General features: G+C 36.6%; 2 long non-coding RNA genes across 6 annotated transcripts in view; one reads left to right on the plus strand and one right to left on the minus strand.

The window, feature by feature from the left end:
- The window catches only part of LOC107985173 (uncharacterized), a 122,834-nt gene that overhangs the window by 77,681 nt on the left and 23,340 nt on the right, over positions 1-21,813 (minus strand). For 4 of the 5 annotated variants that reach the window (XR_007066290.1, XR_007066291.1, XR_001753357.3 and 1 more), the window contains one exon: positions 2,966-3,205. The exons of the other annotated variant lie outside the window; for it this stretch is intronic. This is a non-coding gene — a long non-coding RNA (uncharacterized LOC107985173). Of the gene's footprint in view, positions 1-2,965; positions 3,206-21,813 lie in introns of those variants that run through there. 5 annotated transcript variants of the gene reach the window in all.
- Positions 9,693-21,211, plus strand: LINC01928 (long intergenic non-protein coding RNA 1928). The gene is made up of 4 exons (NR_146901.1): positions 9,693-9,748; positions 9,967-10,053; positions 20,492-20,725; positions 21,085-21,211. It is a non-coding gene; the product is annotated as a long intergenic non-protein coding RNA 1928 (long non-coding RNA).

A 21,813-nucleotide genomic window follows, 5' to 3' on the forward strand; every position in this document is an offset into this window, starting at 1 on the left:
GATAGACATGATATGAAAGCCTCAAATATGAAGTATTCATTGTCAGCTAAAATTTGTTCATGGTAGATTATTTTCTCAATTATTCTATTATTTTGGCTTATAAGTATTTTCAGTGACACGTTACTTATAGGAATTTTCTTTGACTGGCTGGAGATACATACCTGTCAAACAGTTTTAATTTAGCTCCTTCCATGAACCCCAGAAGTATCATCTACCTATTTTTAAGATTTTTCATTCATTTTTATTCTTATTTTATTATTTTCTTCTTGTTACTTACTTTGGCTTTGATTTGTTAATCTTTATCAACTTTCTTATGAAAGAAAATTAATTAGATCATTGACTTTACAACAATTTTCTTTTTTAATATAAGCATTTAAAACTGTTTACCGAGTAGTCATTCAGGAGCAGTTTGTTCAGTTTCCATGTCGTTGTGTGGTTTTGAGCGAGTTTCTTAATCTTAAATTCTAATTTGATTGCACTGTGGTCTGAGAGACTGTTTGTTATGATTTCCATTCTTTTGCATTTGCTGAGGAGTGTTTTACTTCCCATTATGTGGCCAATTTTAGAATAAGTTCGATATGGTGCTGAGAAGAATGTATATTTTGTTCATTTGTGGTGGAGAGTTCTGTAGATGTCTATTAGGTCTGCTTGGTCCAGAACTGTTTTAGTTTCTCTCTAAGTACTGCTTCAATTGCATTCATACAAACTTTTATATATTGCATTTTCATTTTTATTGTGAAATATGTCATAATTCCATTTATGCTTTCACTTTTTTGGGGAGGAGGGGCGGAGTCTTGCTCTGTCACCAGGCTGGAGCGCAGTGGCGCGATCTCGGCTCACTGCAACCTCTGCCTCCCGGGTTCAAGTGATTCTCCTGCCTCAGCCTCCTGAGAATCTGGGACTACAGGCATGTGCCACCACGCCCAGCTAATTCTTGTATTTTTACTACAGATGGGGTTTCACCATGTTGGTCAGGATGCTCTCGATCTTTTGACCTTGTGATTTGCCCACCTTGGCCTCCCAAAGTGCTGGGATTACAGGCGTGAGCCATCGCACCCAGCCTATGCTTTCACTATTAAACCATGGATTGTTCAGGAGTGTGTGATTTAGATGACAAATATTGAAGAATTTTATTCTAGAGCTCTTACTATAGTAATATTTAATTTAAAGGCATTGTCGTCAGAAAATATACTTTATAAAATTTTAGTTTTATGAAATGTATTGACATTTATTTTATGGCATAGCACATGTTCTGTCTTGTTGAGTGTTCTTTTGCACCAAATGTGTATTAAGAAGTTGTTCGATCTAATGTTCTATGACTATCAATTAGGTCAAATCAGTTTATGCCGTTATTGTTATTTTGTTTAATAGTTATTTTAATTACCAGGAAAGCATTGTTAAAATCTCTCACCATAGTTTTGCATTTGTATATTTCTCCCTTTAGGTATGTCTATTTTTGCCTCATGAATTTTTAAGCTTTATTATTAGGCATATACATGTTTAGGATTGTTATAGCTTCTTTATGTATTTTTCCTTTTATCATCATAAAATGTTATTCTTTATCTTGGTAATAATTCTTAGTTTGAAATACTCTTGGTATGGCATTTATATTTATACTGTTTGAAATATACATATACTTTGTATAATATTAATATACTTCCACTGTTTTTCTTATATCTACAAGTTGCAGGATATATGTTTTTCCATTTTTAAATTTTCTCCCTGTCTGTAAAATCAAACTACTTTAGAAGTAACATAAAGTTGGACCTTGCTTTCTTTTTTTTTTTTTTTTTTTTTGAGACGGAGTCTCGCTCTGTCGCCCAGGCTGGAGTGCAGTGGCGGGATCTCGGCTCACTGCAAGCTCCGCCTCCCGGGTTCATGCCATTCTCCTGCCTCAGCCTCCCAAGTAGCTGGGACTACAGGCGCCCGCCACCACGCCCGGCTAATTTTTTGTATTTTTAGTAGAGACGGGGTTTCACCGTTTTAGCCGGGATGGTCTCGATCTCCTGACCTCGTGATCCGCCCACCTCGGCCTCCCAAAGTGCTGGGATTACAGGCGTGAGCCACCGCGCCCGGCGGGCCTTGCTTTCTTAACCAGTCTCATAATATGTACCTTTTAATAGAAGTATTTATTCAGGAGTTCATAATGTCAATATTAATATGACTGGGCTCTAGACTACCATTTTACATTTTTATGCTTTCTCATTTCTTTTTGTTCTTTAGTTACTCCTACCATGAATTATTTTGGTATGATTTTTAAATTATTCTATGTTCTTTCCTCTGATTTTAAATAGAATTTTTTACTATTTTAGTGGTACTTAAAAGATTACAATATGCATCTCTAACTTATCATAGTCTCCTTAGAGCTCACAGTATACTATTTAATATAAAATTTTAAAATCTTGCAACAGTAAAATTCTATTTACCTACCTTGTCAGATATTTATCTATCCTCCTGCCATTTTGTCATTTTTTAAATATTTGTACCTGTTATAAACTCAAAATTATGGCATTATATTTTTAAATAAATTTTCAATCATCTGTTAAGACAAAGAAAAGCAAGGATTTCTTTTTAAACAGTCTTATTTTCAAAGATGGTGGATCAGAGAGGTTTTTACCATGCCTCAGCCATTTGGAAAAGCATGAAGATCAATTCTGTGAGCTTTAATTCAAGAAGGTAAACAGGATTCCACCAGAATCATGAAGGACATCCCAGATTCCAGGAAGGAAAATGCAACCCAACAGCCCCCATACAAGCATCCAGCAGATAAAAGTGAGTGAATTCCCAGTGCGTGAGAAAGGCAGAGAAGCTCCCTCTGTGATTCACCTTTCCACTGGGGATCTGAGCAGCCCAGGCCGAGGGAGAGCACTTTTTTTCTCCTAAGCCCTGGAACTAACTTGGGGAGAAGTTTGGAGACGCTGTGAAGAAAAGTCACAGGGAAAAGCCACAGCATTTTCCCAGACCAGAGAGCAAGATGCCATTTTTAATCAGGATGCATACAAAGTCAGCCAATCTTGGGCAACCTGGCAGTGTGGTCATGCAGACATTTTAGTTTTGGCCTGAAGATTGAAGTGCCTGCTCTAGAGAAGAGTAGGGGCCTCCACAGCTAGACCCCTGGAAAGTGCCTCAGCAACAGGTGTTGGAATGGTGCTCATCTTTGTCACATTCCTGGGGGGAAGGAATGCTGCTACAGTTGCAGTTTCTCCTGAAAGACAAGAGGAAAGTTTACCGTGCTGAAGGCTTACCTCAAAAAGTTAAAAAGATTTCAAACTATCAATCTAGCATCACACTTAGAGTAACTAAAAAAACAAGAACAAAGTAACTCCACAGCTAGCAGAAGAAAAGAAATAACTAAAATCAGAGCAGAACTGAATAAAATTGATACCTAAAAATGCAAACAAAGGATTGACAAAACCAAAAGTTGTTTCTTTGAAATGGTAAACACGATTGATAGACCACCCTATATTTACAAAGAAAATCAGAAATGAAATGAATCATCAGAAATGGAAAATGTGACATTAGACCTAATCTCACAGAAGCACAAAATACCCTCAGAGACTATCATGGACACCTCTATGCAAACACACTAGAAAATCTGGAGGAAATGAACAAATTCTTGGAAACATACAATTTCCCAAGGCTTAATCAGTAAGAAATTGAAACACTAAACAGACCAATAGAGAGTTTCAAAATTGAATCAGTAATAAAGCCTACTAGCCCCCACAAAAGCCCCATGTCAGATGGATTCATGGTCAAATTCTACCAGATGTACAAAGAAGAGCTGGCACAAATCCTACTGAAACTATACCAAAAAACTGAGAAGTAGGACACCTCCCTAACTTATTCTATGAAGCCAACATCACCCTTATACTAAAACCCAGCAAAGACACAACGAAAAAAGAAAACTACAGGCCAATATTCCTGATGAACATAGATGTAAAAATCGTCAACAAGATACTAGCAAACCAAATCCAGCAGCACATCAAAATATTAATTCACCATGACAAAATAGGCTTCATTCCTGAGATGCAAGGCTAGTTCAACATATTCAAATCAAGAAATGTGATTCACCACATAAACAAAATTAAAAACAAAAAACATAGGATCATCTCAATATACATAGAAAAAGCTTTTGATAAAATCCAACATTCCTTCATGATAAAAAAAAAAATCTCCAGAAACCAGACGTTTAAGAAATACACATCAAAATAACAAGAGCCATCTATGACAAACCCACAGCCACATCATACTGAATGGACAAAAACTGGAAGCATTCCTTTTAAGAACTAGAACAAGACAAGAATGCCCACTCCCACCACTCCTACTCAATATAATACTGGCAGTCCTAGCCAGAGCAATCAGACAAGAAAAAGAAATAAAAGGCATCCTAATAGGAAAAAAAGAAATGATCTCTCTTCACTGACAATATGATTTTATACCTAGATAACCCCAAAGACTCCACCAAAATGCTCCTGGAACTGACAAATAACTTTAGTAAAGTTTCAGGATACAAAATCAATGTACAAAAATCAATAGCATTTTTATACATTAATAATATTCAAGCTAAGAGCCAAATCAAGAATGCAATCCTATTTACACTTGCCACAGAAAAACTAGGAATACTTCTAACCAAGATGGTAAAAGATCTCTCCAAGGAGAACTACAAAATATTGCTGAAATAAACCTTAGATAACACAAAAAGAATTCCATCTCATGGATTGGAAGAATCAATATCATTAAAGTAACCATACTGCCTATGGCAATCTATAGATCCAATGCTATTCCTATCAAGCTATCAACATAATTTTAGAAAAAATTATTCTCTAATTCATGTGGAACCAAAATGAGCCTGAGTAGCCAAAGCAATCTTAAGCAAAAAGGGCAAAGCTGGAGGCATCATATTACCAGACTTTAAACTGTGCTGTAAGGCTACAGTAACCAAAATAGCATGGTACTGGTACAAAAACAGGTACATAGAAAAATGGAAAGGAATAAAGAACACAGAAACAAAGCCACACATCTACAGCCATCTGATCTTTGATAAAGTCAACAAAAAAGAACAATGGGGACAGAAATCCGTATTCAATAAATGATGCTTGGATAGCTGGCAAGCCATATGCAGAAGAATGAAATGGACTCCTACCTATCACTACATATAAAAATTAACTCAAGATGGATTAAAGACTTAAAGGTAAGGCCTCAAACTTTAAAAATCCTAGAAGAAACTTTAGGAAATACCATTCTGGACATCAGCCTTAGCAAAAAATTTATGAGTAAGTCCTCAAAAGCAATTGCAACAAAAACAAAAATTGACAAGTGGAACCTTATTAAACTGCTCTTATCAACAGAGTAAACAGACAACCTATAGAATGAGAGAAAATATTCACAAACTATTCATCCAAGAAAGGGCTAATATCCATAATCTATAAAGGAACTTATACAACTGAACAAGCAAAAACCAAATAATCCTGTTAAAAATGGGCAAAAGGGGAGACTGAGGCAGGATAATTGCTTCAACCCAGGAGGCAGAGGTTGCAGTGAGCCGAGATTATGCCACTGCACTGCAACCTGGTGACAGAGCAAGACTCCATCTCCAAAAAATAAGTAAATAAATAAATAAATTGTCAGAAGACATGAACAACCACTTCTCAAAGGAAGACATCCAAGGGGTTGACAAATATATAAAAATGCTCAACATCACTAATCATCAGAGAAATGCAAATCAAAACCACAATGAGATACCACTTCACACCAGTCAGTTTTATTAAAAAGTCAAAAAATAACAGATGCTGACAAGACTTCAGAGAAAAAGGAAATGTTTATACACTGTTGGTGAGAATGTAAATTAGGCCAGCCACTCTGGAAAGTAGTTTGGAGATTTGTCAAAGAACTTAAAACGGAACTACCATTTGACTCAGCAATCCCATTACTGGGTATATACGCAAAGGAAAATAAATCATTTTACCAAAAAGACACATGTACTTGTATGTTCATCACAGCACTAGTCAAAAGCAAAGACATGAAATAAACCTAAGTGCCCATCAACAGTGGATTGGATAAATAACATGTGGTACATACACACCATGGAATACTATGCAGCCATAAAAAAGAACAACATCATGTTCTTTGCAGCAACTTGGATGCAGCTGGAGGCCATTATCCTACGTGAATTAACACAAGAACAGAAAAACAAATACCACATGTCTCACTTATAAGTGGGAACTAAGCAATGAGTATTCATGGACATAAAGATGGCAATAGTAGACACTGAGGACTACTAGAAGCAGGAAGGAGAGAAGAAGGCAAGGGCTGAAAAACTAACTATTGGGTGCTATGCTCAGTATCTGGGTTATGGAATCCACCATACCCCAAACCTCAGCATCATACAATATACCCAGGTATCAACCTGCACATGTACCTCCTGAAATACAATAAAAGTTGAAGTTAATTTTAGAAAACAGTTTTATTGAGATATAATTTATGCACCATACTATTTCCCCATTTAAAGCATACATTTAAGAATTTTTAGTGTATTCAGAGTCGCAAAACCATCACCACAATCAATTTAGAACATTTTCACATATTTGTTCTAATACATATTTGTCCAAATATTTGTCGTGCAGCTGCTCTTTATTCCTTCTTGTATAACCAGATTTCTGTCTGGCATCATTTTCCTACAACCTGAAGAACTTCTTTTACCATCTCTTTAAGTTGAAGTCTGATGGTGATTCATTCTCTCACCTTTCATTTATCTGAAAACTCATTTCATCTTCTTACTGAAGAAGTTTGTTGGATATAGATTTTTGAGGGTTTCTTTTAGATTTTTGATTTTCTTTTCCTTTCAGAGACACTCAGTATCTTGTTCACTATATGGTATGTTTACTTTCAAGATTTTTTTAATTTTGGGTTTAGCATTTTGGCCATGTTATGTGGAGATGTGGTGTGGTTAGTTTGTTTGCTTCTTCACTTATCAAGTTTGGAGTTCTATGTGTTTCCTGAATCTATGAAGTAATGGGGGGTTACACAACTTGGTAAGTTGGGGACTATTATTTCTTCAATTAATTTTATTCTCCATTATCTCCCTCTCTGCCTTTGGGAAGTTCAATTACACATGTTAGAATATTCCATATTGTCCGAAATTGCCCCACAAGTCACTGAGTCTGTGTTTTTAAATCCTTTTTTTCTCTTCAAATCAGATGATTTCTGTTGATAATTCTTCAAATTGACTGAATTTTTTTTGCCTTCTCTAATTTGCTATTAAGTCCAATTCATCTCATTTTCAATTTAAATCACTTTTTTCATTTTATTTTCATTTGGCTTTTTGTATATTTTCCATTTCTTTACCAGGATACCATACCTACTCACTTGCTGTGACTATCTTTTACTGTAAGTTCACATTGATTTTACAATTTGTATTTTAAATTTTTTGCTTTAAAACTTTTTTGCTTTAAATTTTTTAAAATTTGTTATCTATTAATTCTAACATTGGGGAGGTTTTATAGTCTGTGCCTAGTGACTGCTTTTCCTCTTGATTCTGTCATCTTTTACTTAACTTTTCCCATGTGCAGTAATTTTATGTTGTATACTGGGCATTGTGGTTGACACTACAGAGAGATTCTTGACTTTGTTATTCTATTCTGAAGAGTGTTTACTTTTGTTCTTGAATGTAATTTAATTACTTACTCATCACCCTGCACATGTGGAGGCTACATGTTTGTTATCATACCAAATGTCCAGGTTTTCTTTTCATCTTAGAACTCATCTTTATTGTTGGGACATAACAGTTTTTCCTAAGTTATGGTCTCTCTTGGATTTCCATGGAAAGGCCAAGTTCTTTTAACTTGACAAGATTCAAACATCCAACTCTGTTTTTACTCAGTTAAAACTCTGCTTAGATTTTTCAGCCTTAATGTTTTTGCGTTCTTCCATCCTCCTGGTATTCTCTTGCACAGCTCATGGGCAAGCCAAGCATATGAGGGTAGTAGATATTTGATTTGTGTGCTCTTTCCTCTGTATCTCCCTCCTTTCAAGATTTTTTTCCTCCATTTCCAGTCTCTTTGACAACCCTGAACTCCATATTTTCACATCTTATCCTAATAAAACAGTACTGTTTTTTCTGCTTGAATTCTAGCTATCACCGCAATATGTGGACTAGGGATTGTTTTTAGGAGAAAAATGGTGTGAATGTAGCTCTCAGTGAATTTTTTTTTCTTTCCAGGGTCAAATTTCCTCCAGGTTCAATCAGTTTCCTCCTGATTTTGCTTATTCTTCAGTGACTTCTAATAGCTGTGCTTTAAAAAGTATTTCATTCAGAGTTTATAATTGTTATGTTCGAGAGGATTAGTCTGATGACAGATATTACACTATTTCTGGATCGGGCTCCATAAACTATGTTTAAATATTAATTGGGCTTATGGGTTTATGGTTTACTAAATCAAGTAGGCAATATGTATTCAAACCACAAACTACATGAAGATAGGCCTGTGGTTACAAATTCTCAGGTATAACTCTTCCTTTGTACCCAGAACTCAGGCTGAGATAGACAAATTCATTTGTCATCTGACTGTGCAAAGGTAAAATTTTCTACTCACTCTTTCACTGACGGTATTTCAAAAGTCCGAATTCCATATAAAATCTCCAACTCAGCAATTAGCCTTGCATCACATGACATACCTGAACTCCTGTCCCTGTGAGGCCATTTAAGCCCAATCTTTTTGGTTCTTGATGTAAGTAGCTCCTGCTATGGCAACTAGAGAGACAGTTTACCATGTTTATTTTCCAGTTTCCTCTTGGTTTATTTCCAGTTCAAACTATTTACTTAATATACCATTTTGAGATCTAATAGGACCTTCAAACATTATATACTGAAAATAGAGCTCCTGAATTTTTCTATCAATTCTCTTTCCTCCAAACTTCTACATCCCAGTAAATAACACTATTATTCATCTCCTTTCCCAAGTTCTTTCAATAGTCCTCCAAAATGCATCTTAAATCAGCCCACTTAACTCTTCACTAACATCATTCTAACATCAGACCTTAGCATCTTTTATTTGGTTTGTTGCAATGCCTCCAACTAGGCTCCTTATTCTATCCTTCTCTGACATATCCTCCACGAGCAGCCCAACTAAATATATTAAATAAGGACCATATTATAACACTTCCCTGCTTAAAGCAGTTTAATACTGCTACATTGTTTTTAGTGTAAAATGCAAACTCTTACATGGGTCATAAGATTCAGCGTGATCAGAATCACACGTGTCTCTTCAATCTCAGCTTGCATCACTCTTCCCATCTCTCAGTTCATACTGGCTGGCACCCTAGTCTTCAAACACTTCCTTTTACCCACAACTTGGAAGAGTAGTTTTGCATGTTGGAGAGTGGAAGTAGCTTATGCCTAAGTTCTGATCACAGACACGGTGATGGTAACATCCTCTGACGTGGTAACAGAACATGTGACCCCAGCCCACAAGATGAGAAAAACTCTGGCTTGGCCAACTCTGGTTTTAAAGGTTGGAGAGATGTGGAAATTTGCACTTGTAGTTGCTGCTATTTTTGGAACCAATGAAAAAGTTTCACAGATTATTAACTTTTAGTAGTTGAAGATTTTTAGATTGAAAGATTGCTGGGAGAGACAACCTCGCCATCTGATTAACGGCATGAATTTCTTCTTTATAATGTTCAACTACAGTATGAATTGGCAAACATTTTCTCTAAAGCTCAACACAGTAAATATTTTAAGCTTTACAGGGTAGGTATTCTCTGTTGCAGCCACTCAACTCTAGTGTTTAGTGCAAAACTGACCACTGAAAATATGTAAGTAAATGAGTGTGGCTATGTACCAATAAACCTTATTCATGAACACAGAAGTTTGGATTTCGTATAGCTCTCCTGTGTCATGAAATATTATACTTCCTTTGACATTTTTCCAATTATTCTAAAACAGTAAAAACCATTCTTATCTTGCAGGCCATACCAAACAGGTGCTGGACCAGACCTGGACTCCCTGGGGCCACAGAGCTTCATTTGAACTAAGTAGAAGACTGCTCTGGTTAGGTATGTCTTTGAGGCTGTGAGGTAGGCTGCGACAGGTTTACTTTTCTCCTGGGACTCTGAAACTCTAACATATTCCAGGATAGTGGCGTTGCTGGCAATCTGTGGTCCTAGTGCATCCCAGAGCATTTCAAAATGAGGCCCCAGTCTTAAATTCTAACTGTAAAGCTACCACCCCAAGTCAGAACCCAGAAAGTTTTCTCTGGTTGTCCACTGCAACAATCAGAGAAAGTTATGAGTTAGCCAGAGGATGAGAGTGCCGCCTTCAGTCTACCGCCTGTTGACATAATTTTAGTTGAGAGTGGGCAAGAAGACTTCTCTGGGCAGTGTTTTCAACAAGACCACAGGGAATGGGAAACCAGGGGCATCCTATATCCTGCCTCCCAAAACTATCTGGAGCTTAGGAAAATGTTGAAAGAAGCATGTTATAGCAAAAGGAGCATATACTTGGGCAGTGTATAGGGTTGGGTTTGAAACTACCAGAAATACCTCTCATTGCGAACCCAGAGAAAATTGTGCCAGCTCTCTGAATTTTCATGTCTTCATGTCTGAGGTGAATGTAGTGATGCCCACCTAGGCTCCAAGGGCCTTGGGCATAGTGCAAGCCTGGTTAATGACTTTCAGTCAGTCCTGCAATATGTATATTTATCAGGTGCCTTAATCTGCACAAAACACTGCTCTTAAAAGCAAATTAGACGTAGTATTTGTTTTCATGGAGTTTACAGTGTAGCAGAGAAGACAAAATTAAGTGAACATTAAGAATAAAATAAGAAGTGCTATGACAGAAGAAAAATAGGCAGCTCTGAGGACATGTGCCAGGAAGGCCAACTGCTCTAAGGAGCCAGGGAAGTTGCCCTAGAGATAATGCTTAAGCTGAAGCCTTGAGAAAGAAGAGGTAATTTAATCATGGCCCAGTGAGACAAGGGACACATGCGAGGTCTGGGGGGCCTTTGAACACTTAACAAATATTCACATTGTTTTCAGGAGCTACAGACCCAGATTACATTTTTTAAGAGAGGAAGAAATGGTTGGCTGTAATATTAAAACTAAAGCTAACCAGTCATGGGCTCCTCGGAGATTACCTCTTCTTTCTTCTAAAGCAGAGCAAAATTAAATGTCCAACAATGATAGACTGGATTAAGAAAATGTGGCACATATACACCATGGAATACTATGCAGCCATAAAAAATGATGAGTTCATGTCCTTTGTAGGGACATGGATGAAGCTGGAAACCATCATTCTGAGCAAACTATCGCAAGGGCAGAAACCAAACACTGCATGTTCTCACTCATAGGTGGGAACTGAACAATGAGAACACATCGACACAGGAAGGGGAACATCACACACCGGGGCCTGTTGTAGGGTGGGAGGAGGGGGGAGGGATGGCATTAGGAGAAATCCTTAATGTAAATGACCAGTTAATAGATGCAGCCCACCAACATGGCACATGTATACATAAGTAACAAACCTGCACATTGTGCACATGTACCATAGAACTTAAAGTATAATTAAAAAATTGTAGCAGGAAAACAGCTTTGCTGTTTTCAGTAATAGGGAGAGGGTTAACATTTAGCTCGACAAGGATTCATTTCCTTTAGGCTTCTAAAAAGTTTGCAATTCAGGAATATTGATCTCTCTAAAGTAGAATGTTGGCCTTTAGTAAGCAATAAAAGAAAAGCATAAACAATCTTTTCCCTGCCAAATAATTTTGTTTTAGTATCTAAGCACCCCATGCCTCTGTGAAGGCTCCAGGACGGGCCATTCATCAGTGTCTCCAGCAAGTATACTGAAATACCTGGGGGAAAAAAAAAGAAAAAACAACATGCCTTACTGATGAGGCATCAGAAATTTTTGATTTCCATTTTATGACTTCTAGTACTAATAATTCTAACTTTTATAGCCAAATAAATTTGAAACATCAGAATACAATCTTTAGAAATAATTAATGTTAATATGTTCTAAATAATTTATATATTTACTCTTACTTCTGTCACCTCCACCCTCAAAGAGAAGCACATATGAGCCTTGTTTGATCGTGTAGCCAGGGTCTCTTCCCTTAATCTCAATGCATTTGAGTAGCTTTTTAACATTCTAATCACATTCATACTAAACCTTTAACCACCCCAATTCACACTGTTTCTACATAACCTAGTGCTTCACCAATACTGATTTCTAGAACCTTAAGGAAGGATCCTGAACGATGATGAAATCATTTGAATATTCCCTTCACGGGATATAGAAACATTTTTATAAAGAATGCCAGTTCCATTAAGGCCAGTCAATAAAATAAATAATAAACTAACGGAACATGCTAATGTAATCTCATATCACTTGCTCTGATGTCGTGTTACATGCGTATTAGCTCTCATTGCTAAACTTGTGAAAAAACAAAATTTGAGGAGAGATTTTTTTAAATGCACAAAAGAAGAATACAATAGAAAGAAACAGATTTGTGGCTATTTCTGTTTTACAAATACCAAATAGTTTACAAGCCCATATTTTAATCCCATTTTTCTCCCACACAAGAAAAACCCAGGAGTAAAGAGAGCTGAATCGGCATCATTACTCAGTCTAGGTTTCAAATCCATGCTCTGTGATGAATGGGCGGTTTTCAGGTTATTTACAGTGCGACGGAAAGAAAACTGAGCAGGAAAGGAGCAGTAGTTTTTCCTAGTACAAGTCCTGCCTCTAACATGCTGGGTAAACTTGGGCTAGCCACTAATATGTTTAGATCTCAGTTTTCTTTCCACTTCATGATGACCACAGCAAATGCAACTGAATTCCCTAAGTGCTGTGAATATTAGTTGGTGCAAAAGTTATTGCTGGTTTTGCCATTAAAAGTAATGGCATTCAAAGTAATGGCAAAACCAGCAATTACTTTTGCACCAAAATAATAACTTTTCCCAGAGCACCCTGACCACGTGTTGCAAACTTTCTGCAGCTAATTTTTGGTGAGCACTTTCTTTTTTGTTTGTTTTGGTTTCTTTTTGTTGTTGGTTTTTGGGTTTTTTTTTTCTTTTTGGAGACAGGATCTCACTCTGTCTCCCAGGCTGGAGTGCAGTGGTGCAATCATAACTCACTGCAGCCTTGACCTCCTGAGCTCAAGCAGTCCTCTCACCTCAGCCTCCTAAGTAGCTGGGACTGCAGGCGTGTGCCACCATGCCTGACTGATTTTTTTGTCTTCTTACTTTTTGTAGAGACAGGATCTCACTATGTTGCCCAGGCTGGTCTCAAACTCCTGAGCTCAAGCAGTCCACCTGCCTCAGCCTCCCAAAGTGTTAGGATTACAGGCGTGAGCCTCTGTGCCCAGCCTATGAGCACTCTTGCTGTCAAGAAAGATTACACTTGCAACTCCACAGGCAGAAGAGTATAGTAAATACAGAGATCTCCTCTTAGCTGCGGTTCCATTACCTACAGTTAACAGCAGACTGAAATCCGTGTCAGTACAATAACATATTTTGGGAGAGAGAGAGATCATATTCACATAACTTTAATTACAGTATATTGTTATAATTACTCTAGTTTATTATTAGTTATTGTTAACCTCTTACTGTGACTAATTTATGAATCAAACTTCATCACAGGTATGTATGTGTAGGAAAAAACATAGTACGTATAGGGTTTAGTACTAGCCACAGTTTCAGTCATCCACTGGAGGTCCTGGAATGTATTCTCCAAGGATAAACGAGGAACTATTGTATATCAATTCATTTGATTTCTACTCAAGTATATTGATAAAAGTTTTGGTGGTAGCAACAGTTGAAGTTACTGAATGAAATTAATATTTATAAATTTATGCTGATCTCAGTGATTATTGATCAAGAACTGACAATACTTAAAGTGAAAATTAGAGACAAAACAAACATTTGAAAGTCAAAATGTTGCAGATATTCTCCTCACACTATAAAATCAAATACATAACAGATAGATTAAAGCAACAAATGTAAAAAAATTAGAAAACTAGAAAGAATAGACGCAAATATATTTTTTATTACATAAACAGGAAATTTTAAAGATATAAAAAATTAGCAAAGAAAAAATAAAAATGTACCTAAAGATTAAGAATTCCTGAGCCCTTAATAATAATAGTTGAACATTTAAAACAAATCATTTAAAAATGAGTAAAAGACATGACAAAGGATCAATATGTAAAAATATTTTATAAATCAATAAACATAACTAAAGCCCCAAAAGGTATGTGGATTAAAGGGCATGGGGAAATACAAGTGAATTATAAATATCTCAGAAATATTTATTTTTACCAGTTATATTTTAAAATGTAACCTGAATAACATAATTTAAAATATTAATAAGTGCAAAGTCAGAAGCAAGTGAAAATCCCTCCCATACAAGGCCTATCAGCTCCGTACTTCCTCCAGTATTTTCATAGTTGAAAACCTCAACATGATCTCAAATATCTTACTAATTTACCTAAGGATGCCTCTTTATGTGTCTTCTAAAATTTAAATAAATGTCACACTACCCATAATCCATTTTGTATGAAAGACTTTTTCAGTTACTCTTGTCCTGCCTGCACCATATAAGACTTCACTTACATTTGCAGGACACTTCACAAGTTAGGAAGCCTTCCTCCCAACCCAGTACAATAGATACTATAACACCAACTTTATAGGTGTAGAAATAGCTTCTCATAGGTTAATTCATTTGCTTAGTAAGATGAATTTAGGTGAAATTTATTTTATGTAATGCTACCTCCTATGTTTGTCATAACTTGCTGTTTTTCCATGTTTCCTCTGCTCCTTGGTGATACCAGATGTTTTTTCTCCAAGTGGAATACAAGTAAAGCAAAACTGTGTTTATCATCTTTAAAAATAAAATATAAAGATAACAAACACTAGGATCTGAAATTCATATAATTTGGGGAAGAAAAATCTAAAACTCTAATTGTAATCAATTTTCAGAATCTCATAGGTTGAAACACTGCTAAGTTTTATAATTTTTCTTTTACTAATTAAAATTGCTTAATTCAGTACTGAATTAAGAGATGATGCTTGATAAATGGGTAAATTAATTAACTCTAAAAATAAAAACCAGAAACTTTCAAATGGAAAAACACTCATTTATGACTAGGAGTAAGGTGAATAAGAGACAAATAGCTCCAAAGTAAATTCTTCCCAGAGTGTTACAAAATTTATATTAAAATCAATTCATTATTTATAATAATTAACTCTTTTTAAATTTAACTTTTAATTTTTAGACAATTCTAGACTTACTTGTAGGTCTAAGATATAATACAGAGAGGTCCCATGTACTCTTTATCCAGATTACCCAATGATAATTTCTTTCAAAATAACAGTGCATTGCCACAATCATGATATTGACAATGTGCACTCAAGATACAGAACAATTTCATCACCAAATAATCTATTTCGATACCTTGTATAGTCACATCTGCTTCCATCTGGGCCTCCCTCTCACCTCTGGGAACTTCATTTATTGTCTATTTCTATAATTTTATCATTTTAATAATTCTTTATAAGTAGAGTTCTATAAGGTACAGTCCTTCGGATGAGCTTTTTCCCCAGCATCATTCTCTAGAGATTCATCCAAGGTGTTGTACATGTAAATAGTTTGTTCTTTCTTACTGCAAGTAGTATTCTGTGGTATGGACATAGCACAGTTAGTTTAACCATTCACTGAGTGAAAGACATCTGGGTTGTTTCCAGTTTGGCATGATTATGAATAAAGCTGCTGTGAACATCCAGGTACAAAGTTTTGTGTGAACGCAAGTTTCATTTTTGGCATAAATGGCCAAGAATACAATTGCTGGGTCACATGTTGGCTGCACGTTTCATTTTTTATTTCATTTGATAAACTATTTTCCAGTGTAACTACACTGTTTTACATTACCATCAGCAATGTGTAAGTGTTCCGGTTTCTCCACATCCTCAGTAGCTTTTGTAATTTTAATGTGTGTTTACCTGAAGGCTAAAGATGTTGAATATCTTTCATATGTTTATTTGCCATCTGTATATCCTCTTTGGTAAGATTTCTACTCATGCCTTTGCATATTTTCTAATTGAATTTTTTAATGGTTGAATTTTGAACAATTTTACATATCCTAGATATTAGTACTTTGATTAAAATGTAGTTTTCAAATATTTTCTCCCATTTTTAGTTTATTATTCCTAACAGGGCCGTTTGCAAAGTAAAGGTTTAAATTTTAATGAGGTTTAAATTATTGTTTTTTTCCTTTTCTGAATTGTGCTTTTAATGTCAAGTCTAAGAACATTTTGCCTAGCCTTAGATATCAAAGATTTTCTCCTATTTTTTTCTAGGAGTTTTATTATTTAAAATTTTACTTTTAGGTCTGTGATTAACTGTGAGATAATTTTTGTATAAAGTGTGGGAATTGGGTTGAAGTTCACCTTTTAGTCTATGGATGTTCAATTACTCCAGCATCAGTTGCTGAAAAGGATATCCTTCCACCATTGAATTACTTTCGCACCTTTGCTAAAACTCATTTGAGCATATTTGTGTGGGGCTACTTCTCAGTTCTTGAATCTGTTCCATTTGTCTATGTGACTATTCCTTCACTAATACTACACAGTCTTAATTACCGAAGGTACATAGTAAGTCTTGAAATCAAGTAGACTGGCTCTTCCCACTTTATTATTCTTTTTCAAAATTATTTTAGTTATTTAAGTTTTTTTTATTTCCTTATAAATTTTAGGGTAAGTCCATTGATATCTATAATTACAAAAGAGTCAATCCACCAAGTAAGACATAGCAAAGTATATACACACACACCAAAAAAAAAAAAAACAGAGCTGCAAAATATGTAAAGAAAAAATGGATTGAGCTGGAAAGATAAATAGGCAAAACCAAATTTTGTAATTTTGATAAGAATCATATTAAACTTGTATAAGAATTGCATTAAACCTCAATTTGAGAACTGACATCTTTAATATGTTAAATCTTTCAATCCATGAACATGGTATGAGTTTCTTATACAATGTATATGGTTGGTCATTTTTTAATCAATTATTGTCCATTTCTGTCTTAGTTGGTGTATGTAGACTATTTACATTAAATGTAATATTATTGACATCTGAAGTCTTCCATTTTTGTCTTCCATTTATCTTTTCTGATTTTCCTTTCTGTTTTTTCCTTCCTGTTATTTAAACATTCATTTAGAACCTTGTTTTGACTCATCTACAATGCTTTTTATTCTCTTTGTGTAGCTTTCTTAATGGTTACTCTAGGGAGATATATATATATATATATATATATATATATATATATATATATATATATATATATATATTAGCACAGTCTACTGGTGTCAACCTTTCACCAGGTCAAGTGAGGTTTGGAAAATTTACCTCTCTTTACCATCACACATCTACAATTTTCTTACATATTTCTTCTATACACATTTAGGTACACATCAGAAAGCACAATAGTTTTTGCTTTACATATCAAATAAATTTAGAAAACTCAAGAGAGGTAGCATGTATTGTATTTATGCAGATTTTTCTCTTTCCGTTATTCTTTCTTCCTTCCTGATTGATATGATTTGTCCCTGGATCCCCACCCAAATTGCATGTTGAATTGTTATCTCTACATGTTGATGAGGGGCCTGCTGAGCGGTGATTGGATCATGGGGGCAGTTTCTAGTAGTTTAGCACCCTTCCCCTAGTGCTGTCTCATGAGTGAGTTCTCAGGAGAGCTGGTTGTTGAAATGTGTGTAGCACTTCCTTCTCTTTCTCTCTCCTGCTGCCATGTGAAGAAAGTACTTGCTTCCCCTTCGCCTTCTGTCATGATTATAAGTTTCCTGAGGCCTCCCAGTCCTGCTTCCTTTTAAGCCTATGGAACTATAACTCAATTAACCTCTTTTCTTCACATATTACTCAGTCTCAGGTAGTTCTTTATAGCAGTGTGAGAACAGTCTAGTACACTGATGTTCCAAGTTTCCTTCTCGTATCTTTTCCTTTCGTTGTAAAGAATTTCTTTTACTGTTCTTTTAGGAAAGAACTGCTGGTGAGAGTTTCCCCTTCATCTTGATTTCTTCTTCATCCCTGAAGGATATTTTCAGTGTATAGAATTCTAGGTTGACAATTGCTTTCTTTCAGGTTGGGACTTCAAAAATGGTGTGCCCCTTCCTCTGGGTTTTCTAGTTTCTGATGAGGAATCATTGTCATTTGAATTTTAGTTTCCCTACATGTAAAATATATTTTCTCTTTTGTGACTTACAAGATGTTTTGTCCTTAGTTTTTAGATGTTTGACTATGATGTGTCCTGATGTAGATTTATTTGGATGTGAACTGTTCAGGGATTCTTCCAGCTACTTAAATCTGTAGATGTGTGAATCTTGTCTAAACTGAAAGTTATTAGCTGGGCACAGTGGTGTATGCCTGTAGTCCTAGCTATGCCGGAGGCTAAGGCAGGAGGATTACTTCAGCCCAGGAGTTTGAGACTGCAATGAGCTATAATTGTGCCACTGTACTCCAGTCTGGGTGACAGAGTGAGATCCTGTCTCTAAAAAAAAAAATTATAATAATTGCAGAAGTTTTCACCCATTATTTCTTTAATGCTTTTTCAGCTTTATCTTCTTTCTCCTGCCTTTCTGGGACTACAGTGACACAAATGTTAGATTTTAGCCAGGCACAGTGGCTCATACCTGTAATCCCAACACTTAGGGTGGCCAAGGCAAGAGGATCACTTGAATTCAGGAAGTTGAGACTCAGACCAGCCTGGACAACATAGCAATACCTCATCTCTACTAAAAGTAAAAAAAAAAAAAAAATAGCCAGGTTTGGTGTCACATGCCTGTAACTCCCAACTACTTAAGAGGCTGAGGTGGGAGGGTTTCTTGAGCCCAAGAGGTCAAGGTTGCAGTGAGCTATGATCACACCACTGCACTCCAGCCTGGGCAACAGAGCAAGATCCTCTCTCAACAACAGCAACAACAAAAAATTAGACTTTTAGATATTGTCCTAAAGGACCCTGAGGCTTTTCTTTCAGTCTATTTTCTCTTTCTTCAGATGGGGTAATTTTTATTTCTCTTCCTTCAGATTTACTGATTCTTTCCTTCCTCATACTCATTCTTCTGTTAATGAGCCAATCAGCTTGGTTTTTAAATTTTGGATAATCATATTTCTGCAGTTACAAAATTTCCATTTGGTTTTTTTTTATATTATTTATTTAGTTAATAAAACTATCTTTTTTATTTGTTTCAAGCATTTGTTTATAGTTTAATGAAACATTTTTGTGATAGCTACTTTAAAATCTTTGTCAGATAATTCCAACATTTCAGTGTTAGCACCTGTCGATTACATTTTTTCATTCAAGTTGATGTTTCCCTGGTTCTTGATATGGCAAGTAGTTTGTTTTTGAAACCTGGACACTTTGGGTATTTTATGAGACTCTGAATCTTATTTAAACCTTACTGGCTTCCTCTGACACCACTTCAGTAGAAGCAGGTGGGGAGAGCTGCCTCATTAGCACCAGATGGGGGTAGAAGTCCACATTTCCCATTCAGACTATGTTATAACCCCTACAGGGGAGAGGATCCTCAGTATTGCTGGACAGAAGCGGGAGGGGAGGCTTAGCTTCCCACTAGACCTCTGCAGCTATCACTCTGACTGGGAGTAGCAGGAGTGCCTCACTACTGTCCCCACACTGTCCCCACATAGCCTCCATTGACCCCCCAGGGCCTCAGTACTCCTCAGGACGGCAGCAAAAGTCCTGAATCTCCACTAGGCCTCCTATAGCACAAGCTTTATTCCTGTTGGGTGTGTAGGAAGTACAGGCTTCCCACATGGCCTCAAATGACACTGAGAAGTGGGGGTCTCACTGCTGGCTGGCAGGGGTAGAAGTCCAAGCTCTTTACTCTGCCTCTTCTGACACCACCCCATGGAGGGATTGAGGGTCCTGATAAGAGTGGAGGTCTAGGCTCCCCTTCACCTGGGTTGGCCATCATTTTTTCTGTGGTGTTTGGCAGCAGCAGTAGAGCAATTGTTATCTAAAAGTTTTCTATCTGGCTATACCGCTCCCTGCCCGGGCCTTTGTCTAGATAGAGAAGGCTTTTGTTGGGGCTCTTTTCGTCTATTCGTCTATGTCCATTGATGTTTACAGGGTGCTGATTTCTTTAGCTCCAAGTCTAGAAGACAGGAGGCAAAAAAGAAAATCTAGGGAACCCATCATTATGCTGTTTCTTGGGTTCCCACATCCCTAGAGAGTGCTTTCTTCTCCCCACTGTTCAGAGTCTTCTTCTTATTTTTTTTTACATATAATGTTCAAGGTTGTTAGTTGTACTTAGTGGGAGGAATAGGGAAAACTATATCTACTCCATCTTCCCAGAAGTGGAAGTTCCAACAATTAACTATTTAAGAAATTTGTCTGCCATTTATTTTTCTGAAATATTTAAGAACCTTTTAGATTTGCCAATTCCTCTAATTGAAGCAAATGTTTCAGGGAGGCAATCGGTAAAGAAAATGAAGCATCCATCTAGCATCATCCCACTGGGAGGAAAGAAGGAGACCAAAAGAAGGTAAACAATAGCAAAAAAATCTCTGAAGGAGTAAATCAAGATGGAGTTGATGGATAAGGAGGAATAAAACTACTCCAATTATCTGGAACTTACACTAAATGAAAAGCAAGTCTCCAAGATAGAAGCTGAGCATGACAAACAAATGCTGACAATATCAGGTAAACATGGAATGTTTCAGGTACACAATGCAAATTGTTATTAATCAGAATTAGTACTTGACAGATTGTATTTTAAGTGAGGATGTATATGGAAGCCATTAAGCCTTAATTGCTGGAAGGAATGGAGAAAAGGAAGGAAGGAGAGAGGGGTAAGGGAAGGAATGTTTTTGCTGTCTTCTATCTGCAATACTGAACCTAATCATAGAGCAGGTTGTGTCTCATGCAGTTAGGATGCCAAAAGTGATGCACCAATGAATATAATGGTGTTTTTAGCCCTGTTGCATGCTTTCCTGGGTCTTAGGTCTTTAAACATGGCTCTTCCTGGCATCCTTATCACTTTACTTAACTAGTCACTACAGGTAGTGCTTCAGTTCAACTATGAGGGATTCTTTCTCCCACAACTTCCCTACTCCAGGAACTTGGAAAGTGGATCATCTCTGACAGCTAAATTCCAAAACAAACACTTAGCAGATTGGAACATAATTATGCCAATTTATTATCAAAAGCCAGAATAGCTCTCAGGACAGCAATACCTGATTAAAATTAGAAAGATGCTGGACTACCTTAGAAACAGTGTGTCAAGAAGAAGGAGAATGATCAGTAATGCAAACAGAGAAAAGAGCAAGTGAGGAGCAAATTTTGGCCATGTCTTCTGCCCTGTGCACAGATGTTCTATCACCAGAGAGCAGAAACCTGGTCATGGGGCAGGATGTCCCATTAAGGGAATGAGCTCATGGGGCGGCCACATCAGCCTCCTCTTGCTAAGAGTGCCTGCTCCCTGAGACGCTCCTGATGGTAATTTGGCTTCCACGAAGACTTGTCTGCAAATAGAGAATAAGCTGTGCAGCGGAGCAAATTATCTACTCTGCTTTGAGTTCTTATTGTAAAGTAATAAATTGGTATTTTGGTTTTTAATCATCAGTCCCCGGTGAATTTTGTGTGAGTCCTCTCGCTCTAATACTTCTGAGAAGATGAACAATCACATTCTGATCCTGAAAAGCCAAGGACCACGGTAAGGCCAATGGGCCTCCTGCATTCTTAGGGAGACATGCCTTGTGGACAGCCGGTCTTCCTTGGGGATAACTCTC

This window comes from Homo sapiens, chromosome 18 (genome assembly GCF_000001405.40).
Source record: "Homo sapiens chromosome 18, GRCh38.p14 Primary Assembly".
Classification (NCBI taxonomy): Eukaryota; Metazoa; Chordata; class Mammalia; order Primates; family Hominidae; genus Homo; species Homo sapiens.